General features: G+C 39.4%; 2 long non-coding RNA genes across 5 annotated transcripts in view, besides 2 other annotated features; one reads left to right on the forward strand and one right to left on the reverse strand.

The window, feature by feature from the left end:
• The window catches only part of LOC105378146 (uncharacterized), a 36,642-nt gene extending 32,137 nt beyond the window's left edge, over positions 1 to 4,505 (reverse strand). Inside the window, exons 1-3 of one of the 3 annotated variants that reach the window (NR_136249.1) lie at positions 4,381 to 4,505; positions 3,843 to 3,995; positions 408 to 3,024 (exon numbers count right to left, since the gene is read on the reverse strand). This is a non-coding gene — a long non-coding RNA (uncharacterized LOC105378146). Of the gene's footprint in view, positions 1 to 407; positions 3,025 to 3,842 lie in introns of those variants that run through there. The other 2 variants (NR_136248.1, NR_136250.1) reach the window with 2 other exon arrangements.
• Positions 2,688 to 3,887: an enhancer, noted in NCBI's record as "BRD4-independent group 4 enhancer chr6:169362660-169363859 (GRCh37/hg19 assembly coordinates)". NCBI's record gives its function as "activates an origin of replication core promoter dependent on BRD2, P300/CBP, MED14 and CDK7 cofactors, and independent of BRD4, by STARR-seq in HCT116 cells {active_cell/tissue: HCT116}" and the evidence as "EXISTENCE:reporter gene assay evidence [ECO:0000049][PMID:35650434]".
• The window catches only part of LOC105378145 (uncharacterized), a 59,736-nt gene continuing 43,377 nt past the window's right edge, over positions 4,499 to 20,857 (forward strand). For both annotated transcript variants that reach the window (XR_943300.3, XR_943299.3), the window contains exons 1-2: positions 4,499 to 4,590; positions 5,320 to 5,475. This is a non-coding gene — a long non-coding RNA (uncharacterized LOC105378145). The remainder of the gene's footprint in view (positions 4,591 to 5,319; positions 5,476 to 20,857) is intronic.
• Positions 19,277 to 19,919: an enhancer, noted in NCBI's record as "OCT4-NANOG hESC enhancer chr6:169379249-169379891 (GRCh37/hg19 assembly coordinates)". NCBI's record gives its function as "activates a minimal SCP1, AML or CMV promoter by ChIP-STARR-seq in primed H9 embryonic stem cells {active_cell/tissue: H9 hESC(primed)}" and the evidence as "EXISTENCE:reporter gene assay evidence [ECO:0000049][PMID:30033119]".

A 20,857-nucleotide genomic window follows, 5' to 3' on the forward strand; every position in this document is an offset into this window, starting at 1 on the left:
GAACATTTTTACTCTGAAAGGAACCCCATACCCGTCAGCAGCCATTCTCTTGCCTGCCACCTCCCTCCACCAGTCCCTGGCCACCACCAATCTACTCGATGTCTCCATGGGTTTGCCTGTTCTAAAACTTTCATATAAACAGAATTATAGAATATGTGGTCTTTTAAAAATTCCTTCAAACTCTGTATTTTCCCTAAGCATATATCTAACTGAATTTATGAAACTTTTGCAATAATTTTAAAGGAAAGTTTTGAGTTACTTATTTTCAGAAATGGTAATATTCAATTTTTTTTAATTCTACACAGAAATAAATATCTTTGAAAAGCTCAGCTGTTGGAAGTGAAGATGCTTTGTCCAAATGGAGAAATAAAATTAGGATGAAGAGACGCTAATTTAACTACATTTTGTGATGGGAAAAATGCAAGACATTTATTAGGGAATCCATTCCCGATCCTGCATAAAAGGGCACAAACTTTGGCCACAGAGTATTTTGAAGGGGATACATGATAATATTAATTAAGCATATATATGGGGCCAGATTTATATTTTTAATAGACAAGTTAAAATACCCAAATTCATGCAAGGCATAAGAATGACAGCTTTGTGAGGAGCAAGCAAGGCCTCCAGGAAAGGGACAGGGAGAGAAAGTGGGAAGCGGATGGAGGTTGGGCTGAGGCCCTGGTCTCTGCTCTTCCCTCCTCCCCACCAGCCCGTTTCTCTTTTCCATCTTTTTCTACCCTCTATGACAAATGAGAGTGTATCAAATTCACCTCCAAATGGGCTAATGTATTTTCCATGTCTCCTTTCACTCGGTTTAAATATAGAAACAGAGGAGTGTGGAAAGGCACTAGCCCCAGCAGAGCGGGTTGGCTTTGTCCCCGGGTTCACTCTTGTGTCCTGGACAGGTCACTTCAGGTCTCTGCTCCTCGGATTCCTCATTTGTGAAACACAGGCAAAAACTCAAGGATCTCCACCTTGCTGTGGTGGTGAATTAGTGGGGTAAATGCTTAGCCCAGGGCTGGCTTGCTGTACCCTCCACAATGACTACTTGAAGTGGATCCCAGAGGCTCTTTTCTTTGCAATAAAGACAGTTTAAGAAAACGAGATTTTTAAATAACTTGTCTGCAACTTCTGCAAGAGATGATAAGAGCATATGGTTTCTTTCTAAGCTACTTTCAGATGAACCGTAAATCTTAATGCGTTCTCCTGCACTGGAGGGAGAAGCTGCTAATGCAAGCTCAGCCCTCCTGTGCAGCTCGTAATGAGGCAGGCCCCTCAGTCCCCTCTGCTCCCCAAGACCAGCCCCACAGCTGGGCAGTTGTTGCAATGTGACACACTTGGACACGTAGCTGAGACGTTATTTTGAAAATGAAGAACCAATATTTTTCTTACTTATAAAAGCAGTCCTGCTTCTCAAAGGAGACACCAATCCTGGAAGACCTGGGACAAGGTAGAGAAGAGGTCTTCTCCCCTCATGCCTTCATGGAGAGGCTCATGCTGCTAGACATAGCAACCTCTGTCAGGAAATGTCGCGTCTTCAGCCCTTCACGTAGGCAGGTTTGATTCAGCGTCCTCGTGGCATTTCCTGTTCCTGCCCACTTGTGCTCGCGCACGCGCGATGGGGTCGGCCTTTCTGACATCAGCTGTCTAACCGGTAGGGAGCAGGGTTATTGACATCGGATGTATTTAATGTGTTTAATTTTCATCCATATATCTTCTTGGCTGATCTGTCTTTTTAACTATTTTGCCCATTTTAAATTGTCTCTTCTTTCCTATTATTGACTTTTGAGTCTTTTTAGATGTGAAGTACAAGCCATTTTTTTCAGATATATGGTTTGCAAATGTTTTCTCCAGATCTGTGGCTTATATTTTTTATTCTCTTAACAGTAGTGTCTTCTGACTAGCATATGTGCTTCACTTTGAGTATGTCCAATTTATCAGTTTCTTTTCTTTTATGGATTGTACTTTTGCTGTCAAATTTAAAATATCTTTGCCTAACTAAGGTCGCACAGATTTTTTTCCTATGATTTTTACCATAATTTCTTTTATATTCTACATTATGTTTATAATCTATTTTGGTTCCATTTTTACATAACATGAGATACAGATAAAAGTTAATTTTTTGCGTGAGATATCCAATCGTTCTAACACCATTTGTTGATAGGCTATTGTTTTTCCTCCATGGAATTTTCTCTGCACCTTTGTTGAAATGAACACACCACAGATGTGTGAGTCTATCTCTGGGTGTGGATGCGGCTCTGGTGATCTACCTCTACGTCCTTATGGTAACTCCTTATTCTCAGGCCACCACAGTTGCTGCCGTGCAGAAGAGCCAAGGCCACCAGCGGCCCTGGCATTCACTCCCCTACCAGGCCTATTCCCCAGGTCTGGGTGGAATTCAGAGCCCAGGCTGCCTCTGGCCCCTTCCACCAACCCTGTGCAGATGAGCTGGGGACCAGCCCCAGCACCGGGTGGCCGGTGGCCACAGAGATGGACTCAGCACAAAACTGCTTGGTCCTGCGCTGTGTGGAAGCCAACACCTGCAGCTGGAGGCTGGGCTCACTGTGGACTGAGATGTCTTAGGTTGCTTTAGGCTTTGGAATTAACCCATTTATACCGAAGGTTGCAAATTTTTTTGTGTGAAAAATCAGACCTTGGCAATGGTTTTGAGCAGTAGGATATAAATAACTCCCACAAGCTTAGCGTTCCAATAATGGAACACTAGGCATAAATGGGTTAAGGGCATCTTTATTTCATAGTAGGCTTGTTAGGATTTTTCTCAGTTCATAAATTAAGGGTAGAGAAAGCACTCCTCCCCCAAGGGGAGGGTGAATTCCCACTCTTCCTCCGGGATCTTCCCTGGGAGAGGGCCCTTTTTTAGCTAGCGTGGTGGTGAGCCGGGTTAGAGGTTGTCTCTGAAGAAGTTAAGCGGTTGGTATTTCCTCCCATGTGCAGTTCTTCTGAAGCTTGGTCCTCGGGCAGGGAGGAGGCAGGTCCTCGGGCAGGGGGCAGGGAATCGAAGACCTGCGTGGTCACAGGGGAAGAGAAGAGAAAGGTCCCGGCAAGACAGTGTACATCTAGGGTCGGCTTCCAAAGGACCGGCAAGTGACAACACGGAAAATGTGAAGACAAGCCCAGGGTCATCTTCCGACTCTCCATGTGTTCGTGATGAACCGGAAGTGACGTCACCCTCTGGCATTGTCTTTCGACTCTCAGTGTTCGTGATGATCCAAAAGTGACTTCACCCTCTGGCAACTCATCATTCCAACCCAGAGGGCCAGGCCATGAGGGGCCACGACTAAGCAGCTACATGTGTAAAGCACTCCAGATAGTGCCTGGGACGATCAAATTACTCTAAAGTATATGTGTTGCCCATATAAACTTGTCATACTGTGGGAAATGGTACTGTGGGTTCCGACTTAGAGCCTAATTTTAAGCCTTCTGCTTCAGAATGCAAAGGAAATTCATAATAAATTCCTAACCAGTTTATAGCTGATGTCTGCTTTCAGGGAGCCTGTTTTCAATGGAGAGTCTCCCTTTGTTTCTGACCCACAGTGAGTCGAGCTCTCTCTGATTTTACACAGCAAATTGGTTCCTATGCTGTTCTTCACTTCTTAGAATCCCATCAAAAAGAACACAGAGTAACTGCCTATAGAATCAGGTTCATTGGAGACTGGGAAAACTGGTGAAAGTCAACCAAACATAGAGGCATGGAAGAGTTATAGAAGAAGTTATACAGGAAGATATTCAGTTGGTCTCCACTTCTGAGATGGCTCATTTTTTAATACCTGAGTCTAAACCACATCATGTTTCTATTTTAGTTCCTTTTAGAATTAACATACCTTTATTCACGTCTGATACACTTCAGAACTTTGGCGCAAACCATCTGTTTGGGTCTTAGACTCTTTTCCTTGGACTTCCACCGGGGCTTGCCCGACGCCAGTGGACATAGAGCATGAAAAGGCTTCCTTTATTTGTCACATCCTAGTTTCCTTCTGTTTGAATTGTTGTCAGTTGATACATTAAGGGTAGAGGAAGCACTCTTCCTCCAAGGGGAGGAGAATTCCCGCTCTCCCTCTGGGTTCTTCCCTGGAGAGGGCCCTTTTTAGCGAGGAGTGGTGATGAGCAGGGTTAGAGGTCTCTCAGAGGAGGTTAAATTGGCCCTGTACTTTCTCCTCAGTAATTCCTGAGTTGCACCTCTGCATAAACACACGCAGTCTGACATGGAAGCCTGACTCGGCTGGAATCTGATCTCACCTCTCCTCCCTGTGCACTTGCAGGGACCTCAGCCTCTGCGGGCAGCCCTTTGGGCACCAGAGCCTTTCCTGACCCGGCTCCTGGCCACTCTCCCTAGAGGCTTTACCTAGGGGAGCTCCCTACCGTTTCCCCAGCGAGGAGGAAGCCAGGCCCCTCTTGGGAGAGGTCGGTGATCCAATCCAGGTGACGGGGTCGGTGGAGAAGTTCTCTCAAAGAATGTATCAGACGTAAAGGTCAGGAAGTGTCTAGCATTCCGGAACACTGGGAATTGTGATGACAGCATGACTGTGTGTCCCGGGAGAAGATCTGCTCCGTGGTCTAATGGAATCTATGGTAGATGAAAGTGTCTCATAAAAGGGTTTTTTACTGAATTTGGAAAATTCATGTTTCAGCCAAATGAATCAGAAAAGACTTTCTTTTCTTTTTTTAGCCAGAAGTGTCCATATGTTTTCAGATGCACTAGCAAAGCAAAAGCACAGAAACATCAATTTTCTAAAAGAAGGGCAAAACCACATTTTCTCCCTGGAAAAACTCAAGAGTTGAGAAAGGGAAATTGGACATGTCATTTGGGATTATACTGAGGCAAAGTTGCCATCTGAACAGAAACTATCATTGGCAAATGCAACGTTGCCACCCTCACATCTTCCAGAAACGGCTCCTGACAAGGCTCTGACCCTCACTCACGGATGGTTTCTTGATTCCTTGGTTGGTTTATAATGGCACAGGAGAATGCTCAATAAACGTGATCTCTCACAAATAAAGTGAGCATTCCAACAGGCGGTTCAAGCCTCAAGCATTTTTAGACAGAGCTGGGTGACTTTGTACTTTTAGGATATAGCTGAGTGAATCACTTTGAAGGTGGAGAACAAAGAGAGGGCCCATCATTGCGGAACACAGAGCTCTGGGGGTGAGGATGCTTGGGAGAGAGGCACTGCCCGCTCCAGTTGCATCGTGGACAGCACGCGTAACACAGCCTAGCCAGGCACTGGAGCAAGGTGATGAGCCTTCTCCTCGCTTCACAATCATAATCCTTCTGTTTTCCATTCATAAATGTGTTTCTAGATTTATCCACTCATCTGTATTCAAGCCAAATCTTCATGGTGAAATCCTAAGCAATCTGGCAGTTGGTGGAAAATCGGTATTTTTCAAGTCACTTGAATTGTTCAATGGTCACAAGAAACTACTAGTTGCTTATTTTAGTGAATTATGCTGCATTCAGTAAGTACCCAACATATGTATAACTGGCAAGTTTTACAAACCTTTGTTACTGAATCAGATCAAGGATAATGATAAGCTCAGCTGGCACCTTTCCCACTGCCAGGGAAAGGACTATGTTTATATGTTAAATATTTACCAAGTGGAAAGCACATAATCATTCATTTAATCCAGGCAAATTGAATGACTACTATGTGATGGTTACAACAATGAAACCACAATAGCCCTTCTCTCCAGTAGTCACATCTGCTGTTTCCTGAGAATGACAATATGATTCTTTTACAAGTGTTCTGTAATCAAAACACTTTACACGGGGACTTTAGAAATTCTCATATTGCAGACTTTACTTATTGCAGATGAAGAAACAGACCCAAAGAGGTGAACTCACTCATGAAAATTTCTGGAAGTTAGTAAAAAATAGTTATTGTTATTATTAGAGTGCTTTATTATTGTAACTACAAGATAGTTGTTGAGAACCTAGACAAAGCAAGCTCTGAGACACACCTCTTATGGGTGTAAATTGATACCATTACATAGCAAAGTCACTTGCATTATCTAACCAAATTAGTTTATTTAACTAAATTGGCATTACTGAAAGCTAGAAATCCCACTCCAAAGTATATAAATTCAACTCACAGCTTTCAACCTTTTTTTAATGATAAAAAACAGAAAACATTTAATATCATAAGACAAAACACAGTTATATAAAAGTTTCACAAAACATTAATTTTGCTTACTTTGTGCAATGCAATCTGATTTTTATTGTTTTCTTTTTCCTCCCCTCTCCTCTTTTCTCTGCTGTCTTCCCTTCCCTTCTCTTCCACTGAATTTTATTTATTGAATTAAATAATATTTTCACCACCTATTAAATGTATTTAATGATCCACTAATGGATCAAACTCTTAATTTGAAAAATGCTGCCTGAGAAGAATTATTGTTCTTGTTGCCAGAAACACAAAAATGTGCAAAGCAATGTCAGCAAGAGCAGAAATGTGGAACTATCACAAATGACATGGTTAAAAGGGGCAGTCATAAAATGGAACATTAAATGTGAAGGAAAGTTAGTGAACTATAGGTGTACTTATCTCAGATGTTTCTCAAAAACCAAATGAGTAAAAAACAAGTTCCAGAAGAATGTGTATAGTATATCTACATTTATTTGTTAGTCAAAAACCAACTGAATAATGAATTACCCAGAAATCATATATACAGCAAAGTTATTTAAAAAGCAGGAATGATTTATGCAACATTTAGAATAACTTTTACCCAGGTGGAGGAGAAAGTGGAGGAAAGATAGTGTATTCACAGTTTATGATGTGCATAGGTGTGGATTTTTTTGCATCTATCCCCTTGGGGCTTCAGTGTCTTGTACCTGTCCGTTGCTTTTCATCAGATTTGTGACATTTCCACTTTTCTTTCTTCAGATGGTTTTCTCTTCCCTACTCTCTCCTGACGACCTGATTACATGCCTGTTGGGCCTCTTGACACTGGCACACAGCTCAGTTTTTATTCATCTTTATTTTCTAAGCTTTAATTTACATAGTTTCTACAGATAGACTTTCAAATTTAATCATCTTTCTTCAGCATTCTCCATTCTGTGGTCCGGCCTATCCAATGTATTTTTTGGAGTTCAGATGTTATAACTTTGTGATCTAGAATTTCCATTTGGTTCCTTTTTCTAACTTGCTTTTCTCTGTTCTCATTCTTCATCTGTTCACTTGTTCTTTCCTTTTCCCCCTAAAAATACTTGAATATCTTTATAATAATTATCTTCAAAGTTCTGTTTGCTAGCTCGAATTCTGGAACCAGAAGAACATTCTGTTAGTGTCCTTTTTTTTTCCTCTTGTTCATGAGCCCCATGTCACTTTGCACACCTCTGAATTTTTAATGGTGTATAAAACATTGTATATAGAAGGGAATTGGAATACTCTAATGTTTTGTTTTGTGTTTATCTGATTTCCAGAGAATGTGAGCTCTTTTCTGTGTCTGTGGAGTAAAATGAGGAAGTTATCATCAGGTTTTACCAAAAGTCATGTTGAACCAGTGCTATGCTGTTACTTTTATAAGAATGAGCTCGCTTGCACTGAGGACAGCCTCAAGCCTTCCACTTCCCCACTGTGGCCCCAGTGGAAGGACCGGTCTATTATATTTTCATCATAGAGTGTTTGATCCAGAAAGAGGCCAGGTTCAGCTGTATCAGGCCCTCAATTCCACACACCATGAGAATAAGCAAGACTGTGCAAATTCTGTTTTTCAGTTTCTATTTCACTGACTTTTTCTTTTTTCCTTTTTCCATAAAGTTGATTTTGTGCCATGGATAATATTCAGCATAAACAAATTATTGTTTCATTTGGTAATCTTCCAGATTCTAATCCATCCCACCATGTCCACCATTGCTAATAGCCTGGCTGAACTTACCTTGACCTTGGAGAGTCTAATATTCTTTAAAAGGCCTCTTCTGCTGCTTCCATGATTGAGAGACCCGTGTTTTGTCCCCTGGAACTTCCAAGGCTCTCTAATAATCTACAAAGTGTTTCTCTTGTCTAAATCAGTTCAACAATGCCTTTCTCTTTTCACCATTCATGAATATTCTCATAGATAAGGATAGTTATTGTATATTCATTCTTCTTTTAATGTTTTTTATTATTTCCACAATCAAACATTACAAGTATGTATTGTTTTCAAATATCAATGCACAACGTAAGAGCATATACTAACATTAAAAATTGTATATAATAAAACTGACTATGAATATAGGCGATGGTTCTATTCATCTTGTTTTATGTTTACTACTCAGAATACTGAGCAAAATTTAATACGTTTTGAATTGTCTGTACAATGTTAGTAGCTTTAGACTCTGTGAGGTTGGCAGGTAATAACAGAGAGTGTTGCTTTCTATTAAAATAGACTCTAAATAACTATCGATGAGCATGAGTGTGTCAGTATTTACCAAAGCAGCTGTGGCTGTAACTCCGTTTGTTAGGTCACCATGGTGATAAAGCTGAGGTTGCGGTTTCATCACGTGGGACCAATTAGTTTCACCCTGTTCTCCAGTCACACGTGACATTCCCCTTTCTACTCACTTGGCTGACTTCACTGAGGAGACACTGGGTGACAGAATGCAGATAGATCAGCACACATGTGTTGGTGACTCAGGCATCGGCACACGCGTGTTGGTGACTCATGCATCGGCACATGCGTGTCTGTGAATCATGCCTGGTCATGTATGTATCTTCATACAAATGATTAAAAGTTTATGTAAATACTGATATTATGTAGATATTATTACTACATAAATTAAGTTGAAGTTTGATGGTTGGCGAGGAAACTACTCAGTGACACAAAATATAGTCCTTTAGTCCAGAGCAATATGTTTTTGTATTGTCAAATCATTTTTGTATTAAAAATGCCTGGGGCTTCATTCATAGTAGGCTTTCCTCACATATTGTGGAATTGAGGTTGTTTCTCTAAATATGGACGCTTACGATGGGGTAATTATCTCTATTTGAAAAGTTATTTTTAAATACTTACTGACCTTTTTACTTGATTAGAACTAAAATGACGAAAGTTACTATAACTTACAAGCTAGCATAACTAATGTGCTACCAAATGCTTAAAGAATGACAACATACAGGTATTCCCACTGAATGTTGCCTTAAAGAATGATGGCAGAAGTTTAGAATACCTATTATGCTTAGAATGGAATGGACATAGGGGTGGATTTTCTACCTCATCTTTGGCATTTTTGAAGAAGCTAAGTGCTGCACAAGACTGATAGAAGCTCACAGACTGCTGTGTAGTTTTTAAAACATCTTAATGGTATCTCTTTCTCTCTTCACACACATGGACACACTTCTATACACACAACTTTAAATTAAATAGAAATAATCCTTTTTGGTTAGTTTATTGTAATTATCATTAAAATTAAAAACAAATATTCTATGCAGACATACTCAGAAATATTCCCAAACTTCAACCCTGAAAAAATGACTATATGCTTTACATATAAAATATTTGCAAAAGTTCATTGAGAACTGATTATCCTTAGACTAGACCATAGTTTTAATGGCTCTGCAAGTGGCTCAAGTGGCAAAGAGAGAAATCAAACCCACCTCCCAAAGTTTCTTCCAAAAATGAGAATAAAAGATGAGACTGTTATCTTCTATTGAGTATCTTCCACTGAGTCCTGTTTTGTTTTTGTTTCTTCCTTGGGCCCCTTTGGCTTTCTTTCTGTTTTTAAATGTTTTGTTTTTTGATGTCATTTAATTTTTTTGTTTTATTTTTGTAAAATGTATGATCTATGAACACATCCAGTTTTCATGTCAAGGTTACCATTTCTGAAGTAATACTGCACACTTTTTAATTCGCTGGTTTGATAAGGCCTTTCTTACACGAATCTTTGAAATAAGAATTATGTGATCAGTTAGCTTTATCTGTAATCGTCACTAGGTAGTTTAGTAAATTCTATCATCCTGGGAGATAAAATAGTATATTTTCCCATGTCTTAAAAAAAAAGGGAAGTGACTTGTGAATATATCTAAGAAAATAACTGATATTTTAAAAATCATTCTATCACTGATGCATTTTGTTATGACTATGAGGCTTCCTAAGTATCATTTGGAACCTGTATTAGATTAAGAGATAGTTAAAATGCACTGCGTAAGAGAAAAATAGAAATTTTAAAGATAGAGGGAAAGGATATTGGAGGAAGCTAAAAGGCAAAGAATCCCTGTACCTGATTATCATATATATTCCAAGTTGAAAAGGGAAATATGAAAAGTTTACTTCTAGGAGCAAAGAGGTCTGCTGTTCACTGTTTAAATATGCGGCTTTAATGACCTGCTCAGGTGGGCTATAATACACCTCCACCCATGAGTCTGTAATGAGCATGCGTTATAGAAAAATAGAGTGTGATAGGAAGTTATCATGGGCTGTAATATACCTTCACTGATGAGTCTGTAATGAGCATGCGTTATAGGAAAATAGAGTGTGACAGGAAGTTATCAAGGTTTTGAAAGAGGTGATATATTACAGACAGTGGAGACAGAGTGATGAAAGCACCGAGCATCGGATGTTAAGGTCAACAGCAGATTGGATCAGTGGAGCCCAGCACGGCAATAAGTGGTGCAGCTGGCATTCAAGGGTTTGGGAGGAACCAGGTCATGAAGAGCCTTTAGTGCCATTAACTGGGTCAGCCCTTGTGATTTCGACAGATCATGGAGATGTATCTATATAAACACAAATTGAGAGAGACTAGATTGGGTTAGGGAGACATACCCAACACACACACACACACACACACACACACACACACACACACACGCATGCACAATCTTTGCCAGTTTGGGCTGCTATAACAAAAACATGAATTTATTTTCCACAATTCTAGAGGCCAGAAATCCAAGATTAGGGCACCAGTATGGTCAGGTTCTGTCGAGGGCCTTCTTTCTGGCTTGCAAAGGGGTGCCTTTTTCTGTAACCTTACACAGTAGAGAGAAAGAGAGAGAGCTCTGATCTCTTCATTGCCTTCCAAATGCACTGATCCCATCATGGGGGCTTGGCTCCAGTCTTATGCCCTCATCTAAACCTAATTACCTCCTAAAGGCTGCATTTCCAAATGCCAGTACATTGGGGATTAGAGCTTCAACATCTGTATTCTAGGGCGACACAGTCCTTCAGTTTATAGCATTTCTCCCTGTCCCTCCAAATTTTACATCTTCTCACATGCAAAATATATTCATTTCATCTCAACTGCTTTAAAAATCTGAACTTGTTGTATCAGAAACTCTAAATTCCAAAGTCCAAAGCTTCAACTACATAACCTCTAAGTCAGATTTAGGTGAGACATGAGGTAGAATTTATCCTAGGCGAAATTTCTTTCCAACTATGAACATGTGAAACCAAATAAGCTACGTGCTTACAAAACACAATGGTGGAACAGACATAGCATGGATACTGCCCTTCCAAAAGGGACAAACAGGAGACAAAAATGGAGTGATGGGTACCAAGCAGGACCTGGTGAAGTAGAGGCCCAACTTTTGGTCCACTGGGGCAGCACACTTGTCTGCACAGCTCTGCTGGGCAGGGGCCATGCCCCCAGGACTCCGATGTGTGGTGGCCCTGACCCTAGGCTGCAGGTGACCTAATCTCCACAGCATTGGGTGTAGGCTATTTTGTTTCTTAAGACCCAGGTAATATCCCCCCTCTTTTAAAACTGAAGAGGCAGCCCTGGTCATCTCTGAATTACTATTTGGGTCATTCTTTCCTTTGCTTGACGTACAGTGCACATTGGCAGCTAAACCGCTCTATAGCCCTATTCTGTGATTGCAAGTTCAGCAGTCTTCCTGCATTCTGTTCCATTTCTGTCCCCTTCAGCTAAAAACTGGCAATTGTCCTGGTAGTGTGGTTGACTAGGTCCAGGGCTCATATCCACACTAATCTCGTGTCAAATACTCAGCTTGCCCCACCTCGAGTGCTCTCTTCCTGACATGCTTTTTTATTTTTGTAATATGTACAGGTTTAGAATTTCCAAATCTTCAAAATCTGGTTCCTTTTGGTTAACAATTCAATCTTTATTTCTGTCTTCTTGCATTTTACTGTAATCAGTCAGGAGGAACTAAGCCACTCCTTCAATCCTTTTCTTAGAAATCCACTCAGCTAAATATCCAATTCCAACACTCAGAAGTTCTACCTTCCACAAAACATTAGAACATGAACACAACCCAGCAAATTTCTTTGCCACTTTGTAACAAAGATCCCCTTTATAACGTGTTCTTCATTTTCTTCCTGAGAACTCATCAGAAGATTGTTTATTAACAATATTTCTATCAACATCCTACACATGATTACATTTTATCTCTAAGAAGAGGGACGTTTTATCTGCAGCCTTCTTTTCTTCCTTAGCTCTCACCAGAATTGCCTTTAGCAATCCCTTCAGAGCCGCATCAGCTTTTTCTAGCATGGGCCTTAAAACTTTTCCAGCCTCCACCCATTACCCAGTTCCAAAGCTGCTTCCACATTTTTAGATATTTGTTACAGCAGAACTCTCATCTGATACCAATTTCTGTTTTAATCAATTTGGGCTGCAGTAACAAAAAATGCCATAGACTGTTGGCTTATACAATAGAAATTTATTTCTCACACTTCTGAAGGCTGGAGGTCTGAGATCAGGGCACCAACATGATACGGTTCTGGTGAGTGCCCTCTTTCAGGTTTGCAGACAGCTGCCTTTTGCTCTAGCCTCACATAGCAGACAGAGAGAGAGAGAGAGAGGAGCTCTGATCTCTTTATCCCCTCGTAAAGGTACTAATCCCATGAGGGAGGCTCCACTTTCATGATCCCATCTAACCCTAATCACCTCCCAAAGGCCCTACCTCCAAATATTATCACACTGGGGTACTGAGGATTTGGACCTCAACCAACATATGGATTTTGAAGGGGACATAGACACAAACATTTCCTCCCTTTCTCTCTCTTTCTCCATATGCACGCACACACACATACATATATACAACACATATAAGTACACACACACACATATACAAACACAAACATTTCCTCCCTTTCTCTCTCCATACACACACACAAACACATACGCATATATACACAAACACATACACATATATACACACACATATGTATATACAAACACAAACATTTCCTCCCTTTTTTCTCCATACACACACACACAAACACACACACACATATATGTACAAATACAAACATTTCCTCCCTTTTTCTCTCTCCATACACACACACACACACACTTATATGTATATGTATATGTATATGGTTCCATTTTGCTTAACAATTTTATCTTCAATTCACTCCCATAAATAAATTTTGTTTTCTTTTTGCTTAACCAGAAAATGAGTATTATAATTTTTTCCACTCCTAAAGGAACGTCAAAGCCTATCTAGTGTTGTAATATGTTAGAATATTCAAGAGCCTTTTCAGGACACAGTCTAGTGAAACATTTTACAGGAATTTAGATCATTGCACTGAGCATTTAGGAAAATGACCAGATTTTTCTTGAGGTGTCACTAAGTCTCTGGAACAAATGGCATTCCTTAAACATTCCTAATTGGCATTCAATTTATAAGAACAGGACCTAAATTTGAACAAGGCTGCCATGGACATTGGCCCTACCCTGCTCATCTCTCAGCCTCTTCTGAATATTTTCCCTGCCCATGATTAATTAAAGATAATTGATAAAGTACAACTTTTTCATGGGCAACTTTCATTATCTGTTTTGTTCATAAGACAAGAACTGGCCATGTAATACATACTCTGTAATATTGGCTGCCATAATCAAATGGTGAAAGTTGGAGAATGGAGGTATAAAGACTAGTGATGGAAGGGATATAGAGATACCACTCATCCCCTTTAGGAATATCCAAGCCTGATCAGATGAAACTATCTATTTTTTTCTAATTTTAAGAAAATGGAAATTAGTACTATGCCTACTGAATTGAATCAAGAAATGTGTTCAATGCAGAATATATGGCATAATTTATTTTGCATGTTTTGGATGAAAGTAAGATAAATGGCATTATTTTCTTAAATGATAAATACAAATCATTGGTGAACCTCAAAATGATAGTATGATGTTCCTAACTTTGTCCTTTATAAAAATTCCTCTTTTCTGACTCAAGTCACACATGTTTGATAGAGGTGGAGACTCTTGTTTCTTTAATATTTTTTTTAATCCCAATCCTAGGCCTTTCACTGCAAGAGGTCTATAGAAATTTCATGTTTAATGTAGGCACATCTGAGGATTCCAAACCTAACACATTTTCTCACTCTGCAATCTCTACACAACTTGATTTCCTGCATTCCCATGATCTCAGTTATAACCTGTAATTGAATCTCCCAAATCTATATCCCCCAAAGCATACACACACACACACACACACACACACACATATATATATATATATTCTCTACATGTTTAAACAACCCATATGAAGATTCATGGTTTGTTATATTTGTTTTTAATAGCCAAATCGACTTTTAAACAACTAGATTGTTGAAGGGTTGTTGGAGAGCAAATGTCATAAATCTCACTGAAATTTCCTCTAAATATTCAATTAGCTGATTTAGAGATAATAATCTTCTATACAATGAGCTAATAAGAGTTTACAACTCAAGGACATTTTAGTATTAAATAAGAAAATGCATGAAAAGCACTTAGCAAAGCAAACAGCATGAAAGAAATACATACAATGTTTTATTCTTCCATTAGATAGAAATACCTCATTAGATTTGGTGCAGTCATTTGACTATTTAAATTCTATTTCATCCTTTTTAGGAAATGCATCCTCAAATATTTCATCACTTTTACTCCCAATTTAGCATAAACTTAACTATTTCAATAACGAGACTTTTGTGAAAATAGAATGAAGCATACAAAACAGCTAGCAAGGAATTGTTCATAACTGGACAATGGGCTAATAATACATTTTTATCATGACAGGTCATAAAACAGAGCTCCAACATACTGCATAAAAGAAGTCAAAGATTTAAAATGTAACTTTTTCCTTAAAAAGAAAAAGAAAAATATAACATGTCAGCCCCAACATGTAAAGAATCTGGACACTGTCACTCATATTTTTACAGAAAAAAAAAACTTTCTAAAAACCAGCTCCTGGATTCATTAATTTTTTGAAGGGTTTTTTGTGTCTCTATTTCCTTCAGTTCTGCTCTGATTTTAGTTATTTCTTGCCTTCTGCTAGCTTTTGAATGTGTTTGCTCTTGCTTTTCTAGTTCTTTTAATTGTGATGTTAGGGTGTCAATTTTGGATCTTTCCTGCTTTCTCTTGTGGGCATTTAGTGCTGTAAATTTCCCTCTACACACTGCTTTGAATGCATCCCAGAGATTCTGGTATGTTGTGTCTTTGTTCTCGTTGGTTTCAAAGAACATCTTTATTTCTGCTTCATTTCGTTATGTACCGAGTAGTCATTCAGGAGCAGGTTGTTCAGTTTCCATGTAGTTGAGCAGTTTTGAGTGAGATACTTAATCCTGAGTTCTAGTTCGATTGCACTGTGGTCTGAGAGATAGTTTGTTATAATTTCTGTTCTTTTACATTTGCTGAGGAGAGCTTTACTTCCAAGTATGTGGTCAATTTTGGAATAGGTGTGGTGTGGTGCTGAAAAAAATGTATATTCTGTTGATTTGGGGTGGAGAGTTCTGTAGATGTCTATTAGGTCCGCTTGGTGCAGAGCTGAGTTCAATTCCTGGGTATCCTTGTTGACTTTCTGTCTCGTTGATCTGTCTAATGTTGACAGTGGGGTGTTAAAGTCTCCCATTATTAATGTGTGGGAGGCTAAGTCTCTTTGTAGGTCACTTAGGACTTGCTTTATGAATCTGGGTGCTCCTGTATTGCCATTATGTAATGGCCTTCTTTGTCTCTTTTGATCTTTGTTGGTTTAAAGTCTGTTTTATCAGAGACTAGGATTGCAAGCCCTGCCTTTTTTGTTTTCCATTTGCTTGGTAGATCTTCCTCCATCCTTTTATTTTGAGCCTATGTGTGTCTCTGCACGTGAGATGGGTTTCCTGAATACAGCACACTGATGGATCTTGACTCTTTATCCAATTTTCCAGTCTGGGTCTTTTAATTGGAGCATTTAGTCCATTTACATTTAAAGTTAATATTGTTATGTGTGAATTTGATCCTGTCATTATGATGTTAGCTGGTTATTTTGCTTGTTAGTTGATGCAGTTTCTTCCTAGTCCCGATGGTCTTTACATTTTGGCATGATTTTGCAGCGGCTAGTACCGGTTGTTCCTTTCCATGTTTAACAAAATTGATAGACCGCTAGCAAGACTAATAAAGAAAAAAAGTGAGAAGAATCAAATAGATGCAATAAAAAATGATAAAGGGGATATCACCACCAATCCCACAGAAATACAAACTACCATCAGAGAATACTACAAACACCTCTACGCAAATAAACTAGAAAATCTAGAAGAAATGGATAAATTCCTCAACACATACACCCTCCCAAGACTAAACCAGGAAGAAGTTGAATCTCTGAATAGACCAATAACAGGATCTGAAATTATGGCAATAATCAATACCTTACCAACCAAAAAGAGTCCAGGACCAGATGGATTCACAGCCGAATTCTACCAGAGGTACAAGGAGGAACTGGTACCATTCCTTCTGAAACTATTCCAATCAATAGAAAAAGAGGGAATCCTCCCTAACTCATTTTATGAGGCCAGCATCATCCTGATCCCAAAGCCTGGCAGAGACACAACCAAAAAAGAGAATTTTAGACCAATATCCTTGATGAACATTGATGCAAAAATCCTCAATAAAATACTGGCAAACTGAATCCAGCAGCACATCAAAAAGCTTATCCACCATGATTAAGTGGGCTTCATCCCTGGGATGCAAGGCTGGTTCAATATATGCAAATCAATAAATGTAATCCAGCATATAAACAGAACCAAAGACAAAAACCACATGATTATCTCAATAGATGCAGAAAAGGCCTTTGACAAAATTCAACAACGCTTCATGCTAAAAACTCTCAATAAATTAGGTATTGATGGGACGTATTTCAAAATAATAAGAGCTATCTATGACAAACCCACAGCCAATATCATACTGAATGGGCAAAAACTGGAAGCATTCCCTTTGAAAACTGGCACAAGACAGGGATGCCCTCTCTCACCACTCCTATTCAACATAGTGTTGGAAGTTCTGGCCAGGGCAATTAGGCAGGAGAAGGAAATAAAGGGTATTCAATTAGGAAAAGAGGAAGTCAAATTGTCCCTGTTTGCAGATGACATGATTGTATATCTAGAAAACCCCATCGTCTCAGCACAAAATCTCCTTAAGCTGATAAGCAACTTCAGCAAAGTCTCAGGATATAAAATCAATGTACAAAAATCACAAGCATTCTTATACAACAACAACAGACAAACAGAGAGCCAAATCATGAGTGAACTCCCATTGACAATTGCTTCAAAGAGAATAAAATACCTAGGAATCCAACTTACAAGGGATGTGAAGGACCTCTTCAAGGAGAACTACAAACCACTGCTCAAGGAAAATAAAAGAGGATACAAACAAATGGAAGAACATTCCATGCTCATGGGTAGGAAGAATCAATATCATGAAAATGGCCATACTGCCCAAGGTAATTTACAGATTCAATGCCATCCCCATCAAACTACCAATGACTTTCTTCACAGAATTGGAAAAAACTACTTTAAAGTTCATATGGAACCAAAAAAGAGCCCGCATCGCCAAGTCAATCCTAAGCCAAAAGAACAAAGCTGGAGGCATCACACTATCTGACTTCAAACTATGCTACAAGGCTACAGTAACCAAAACAGCATGGTACTGGTACCAAAACAGAGATATAGATCAATGGAACAGAACAGAGCCCTCAGAAATAACGCCGCATATCTACAACTATCTGATCTTTGACAAACCTGAGAAAAACAAGCAATGGGGAAAGGATTCCCTATTTAATAAATGGTGCTGGGAAAACTGGCTAGCCATATGTAGAAAGCTGAAACTGGATACCTTCCTTACACCTTATACAAAAATCAATTCAAGATGGAATAAAGACTCAAACGTTAGACCTAAAACCATAAAAACCCTAGAAGAAAACCTAGGCATTACCATTCAGGACATAGGCATGGGCAAGGACTTCATGTCTAAAACAGCAAAAGCAATGGCAACAAAAGCCAAAATTGACAAATGGGATCTAATTAAACTAAAGAGCTTCTGCACAGCAAAAGAAACTACCATCAGAGTGAACAGGCAACCTACAAAATGGGAGAAAATTTTCGCAACCTACTCATCTGACAAGGGGCTAATATCCAGAATCTACAATGAACTCAAACAAATTTACAAGAAAAAAAAAAACAACCCCATCAAAAAGTGGGTGAAGGACATGAACAGACACTTCTCAAAAGAAGACATTTATGCAGCCAAAAAACACATGAAAAAATGCTCACCATCACTGGCCATCAGAGAAATGCAAATCAAAACCACAATGAGATACCATCTCACACCAATTAGAATGGCAATCATTAAAAAGTCAGGAAACAACAGGTGCTGGAGAGGATGTGGAGAAATAGGAACACTTTTACACTGTTGGTGGGACTGTAAACTAGTTCAACCATTGTGGAAGTCAGTGTGGCGATTCCTCAGGGATCTAGAACTAGAAATACCATTTGACCCAGCCATCCCATTACTGGGTATATACCCAAAGGACTATAAATCATGCTGCTATAAAGACACATGCACACGTCTGTTTATTGCGGCATTATTCACAATAGCAAAGACTTGGAACCAACCCAAATGTCCTACAATGATAGACTGGATTAAGAAAATGTGGCACAAATACACCATGGAATACTCTGCAGCCATAAAAAATGATGAGTTCATGTCCTTTGTAGGGACATGGATGAAATTGGAAATCATCATTCTCAGTAAACTATCACAAGAACAAAAAACCAAACACTGTGTATTCTCACTCATAGGTGGGAATTGAACAATGAGAACACATGGACACAGGAAGGGGAACATCACACTCGGGACTGTTGTGGGGTGGGGGGAGGGGGGAGGGATGGCATTGGGAGATATACCTAATGAGAGATGACGAGTTAGTGGGTCCAGCGCACCAGCATGGCACATGTATACATATGTAACTAACCTGCACATTGTGCACATGTACCCTAAAACTTAAAGTATAATAATAATAAATTAAAAAAAAAAAAGAAGAAGAAATGGGAACAAAAGAAAAAAAACTAAAAATCACTGACTTCCCTTGGATGAATCAGAGAATTAAGTTTGCAGAGCAAATTGCTATCTTCAAATCTCTCTCGAGAGATGAATACAGAGCATCACAGCTGAGATAAACTTACCTACAGCAGAAGCTGCAGGTGCTATCAATGGTAGCAACACTTAAATGGCATTTTGGTGAATTATCAGAGGCTGAGTTTGGACAAACGTGAGACTGAGAGACTCCAGGAAACGTATTCTTATGGAGACCTCAAAATTTTCCTGGGCTTTACAGCCAGGAAGAAAACCAGTTTCTGCTGGTGAAGATCTGAAAAAAAATCTTCTCAGGAAAGACCTCCTGTTGGCTCAGACAGGCGGATGGAAAGAGTAACAATTATAAACACAACTAGAGCCTTCTACATAACAAAAGGGTAAGGCCTTTGCAAGAGCCTTTCCAGAGCTAAAGGAAGGACAGTTATTCAACTTCAGCTCATTTTAGTTTTTATGTTTCACTTAAGGAAGAAAGGAAGCAAATAAACACTTGGAAAGTCACAGTCCAGGAACAGAGGACTTCTGAAACAGTTACTTTAGAAAAAATAGTTTATTCTAGATTATTTTAGAGTATCTGCCCATACTCTACCACCACATTAACAGGGATTCGATATAATAACAGTGGGTTACAGCAGAAAGAGTGTCAAGGAACAGACTCTCTCTGTGAAGGAGCACTTACAGAAGCTTATAGTATATGCTGCAGACCAAAACATGAAAACTAGAAACAATTAGACACCTACAATTAGATAAGATATTTAATGTATTCTGACTTCTAGCCAGATAAAATTAAAAGGCAGAGATGGTCAGAGTATATGAAAATAGCAAGATCCAACTATATGTTGTCTACAAGAAACCCAATTTTAAATACAGCCACTTACATAGAGCACAAGTAAAGTGATAGAGAAAGATCCATTATGCTAACACTAGTCAAAAGGAAGTTGGAGTAGCTACATTAAATTGAGACAAAACAGACTTTAGAACAAGGACAATTATCAAAGAAAAGAAGTGCATTGTCCAGCCCAGTGACCCAGCAGAAGACATGCCTCTCTGTACTCTGGAAGACAGGCTCATCAAACTTAGTCCCACTGTGGATCTTAGAGTAACTGTCACCCAATTTCAGTCCTACTCAGCTATAGTCCAGGGCAAGACCTTCCCACCCAGAGATCTGCCCAGTAACCCAGTGGGAACTACATCTACCTGTGCACTTGGTGGCAGGTAATCTACAGACCTAACTGTGGACCTTGAAATGAACTTTTGTCCACCAGCCCTATGGACCAAGGTTCCAGAAGCAGTCCAATTCATCCATAAACCAAGCAGGATCCATGCTTGCCAGCATCCCTGATAACAGGTCTGCCAACTGCAGAACCCACTTCAGACCCAGCAGTGGTCACCAAACTTGCCTCAAACTCCACTTTACTACAGTCCTAGAAGTAATTCCATCAGCCCAGGAAACTGGCAGAGAAAGGTCTTTACTTGCCATAACCAATCTTTAAAGACTGGTAGAGGTGTTTATTCTTTCAAAAGCACAGTAACCAATACAGGCTCTACGAATCTCAAAAAATCAGGCAAACAAAACACCATGAAAGG

The sequence above is a fragment of the Homo sapiens genome, chromosome 6 (assembly GCF_000001405.40).
Source record: "Homo sapiens chromosome 6, GRCh38.p14 Primary Assembly".
Taxonomy (NCBI): Eukaryota; Metazoa; Chordata; class Mammalia; order Primates; family Hominidae; genus Homo; species Homo sapiens.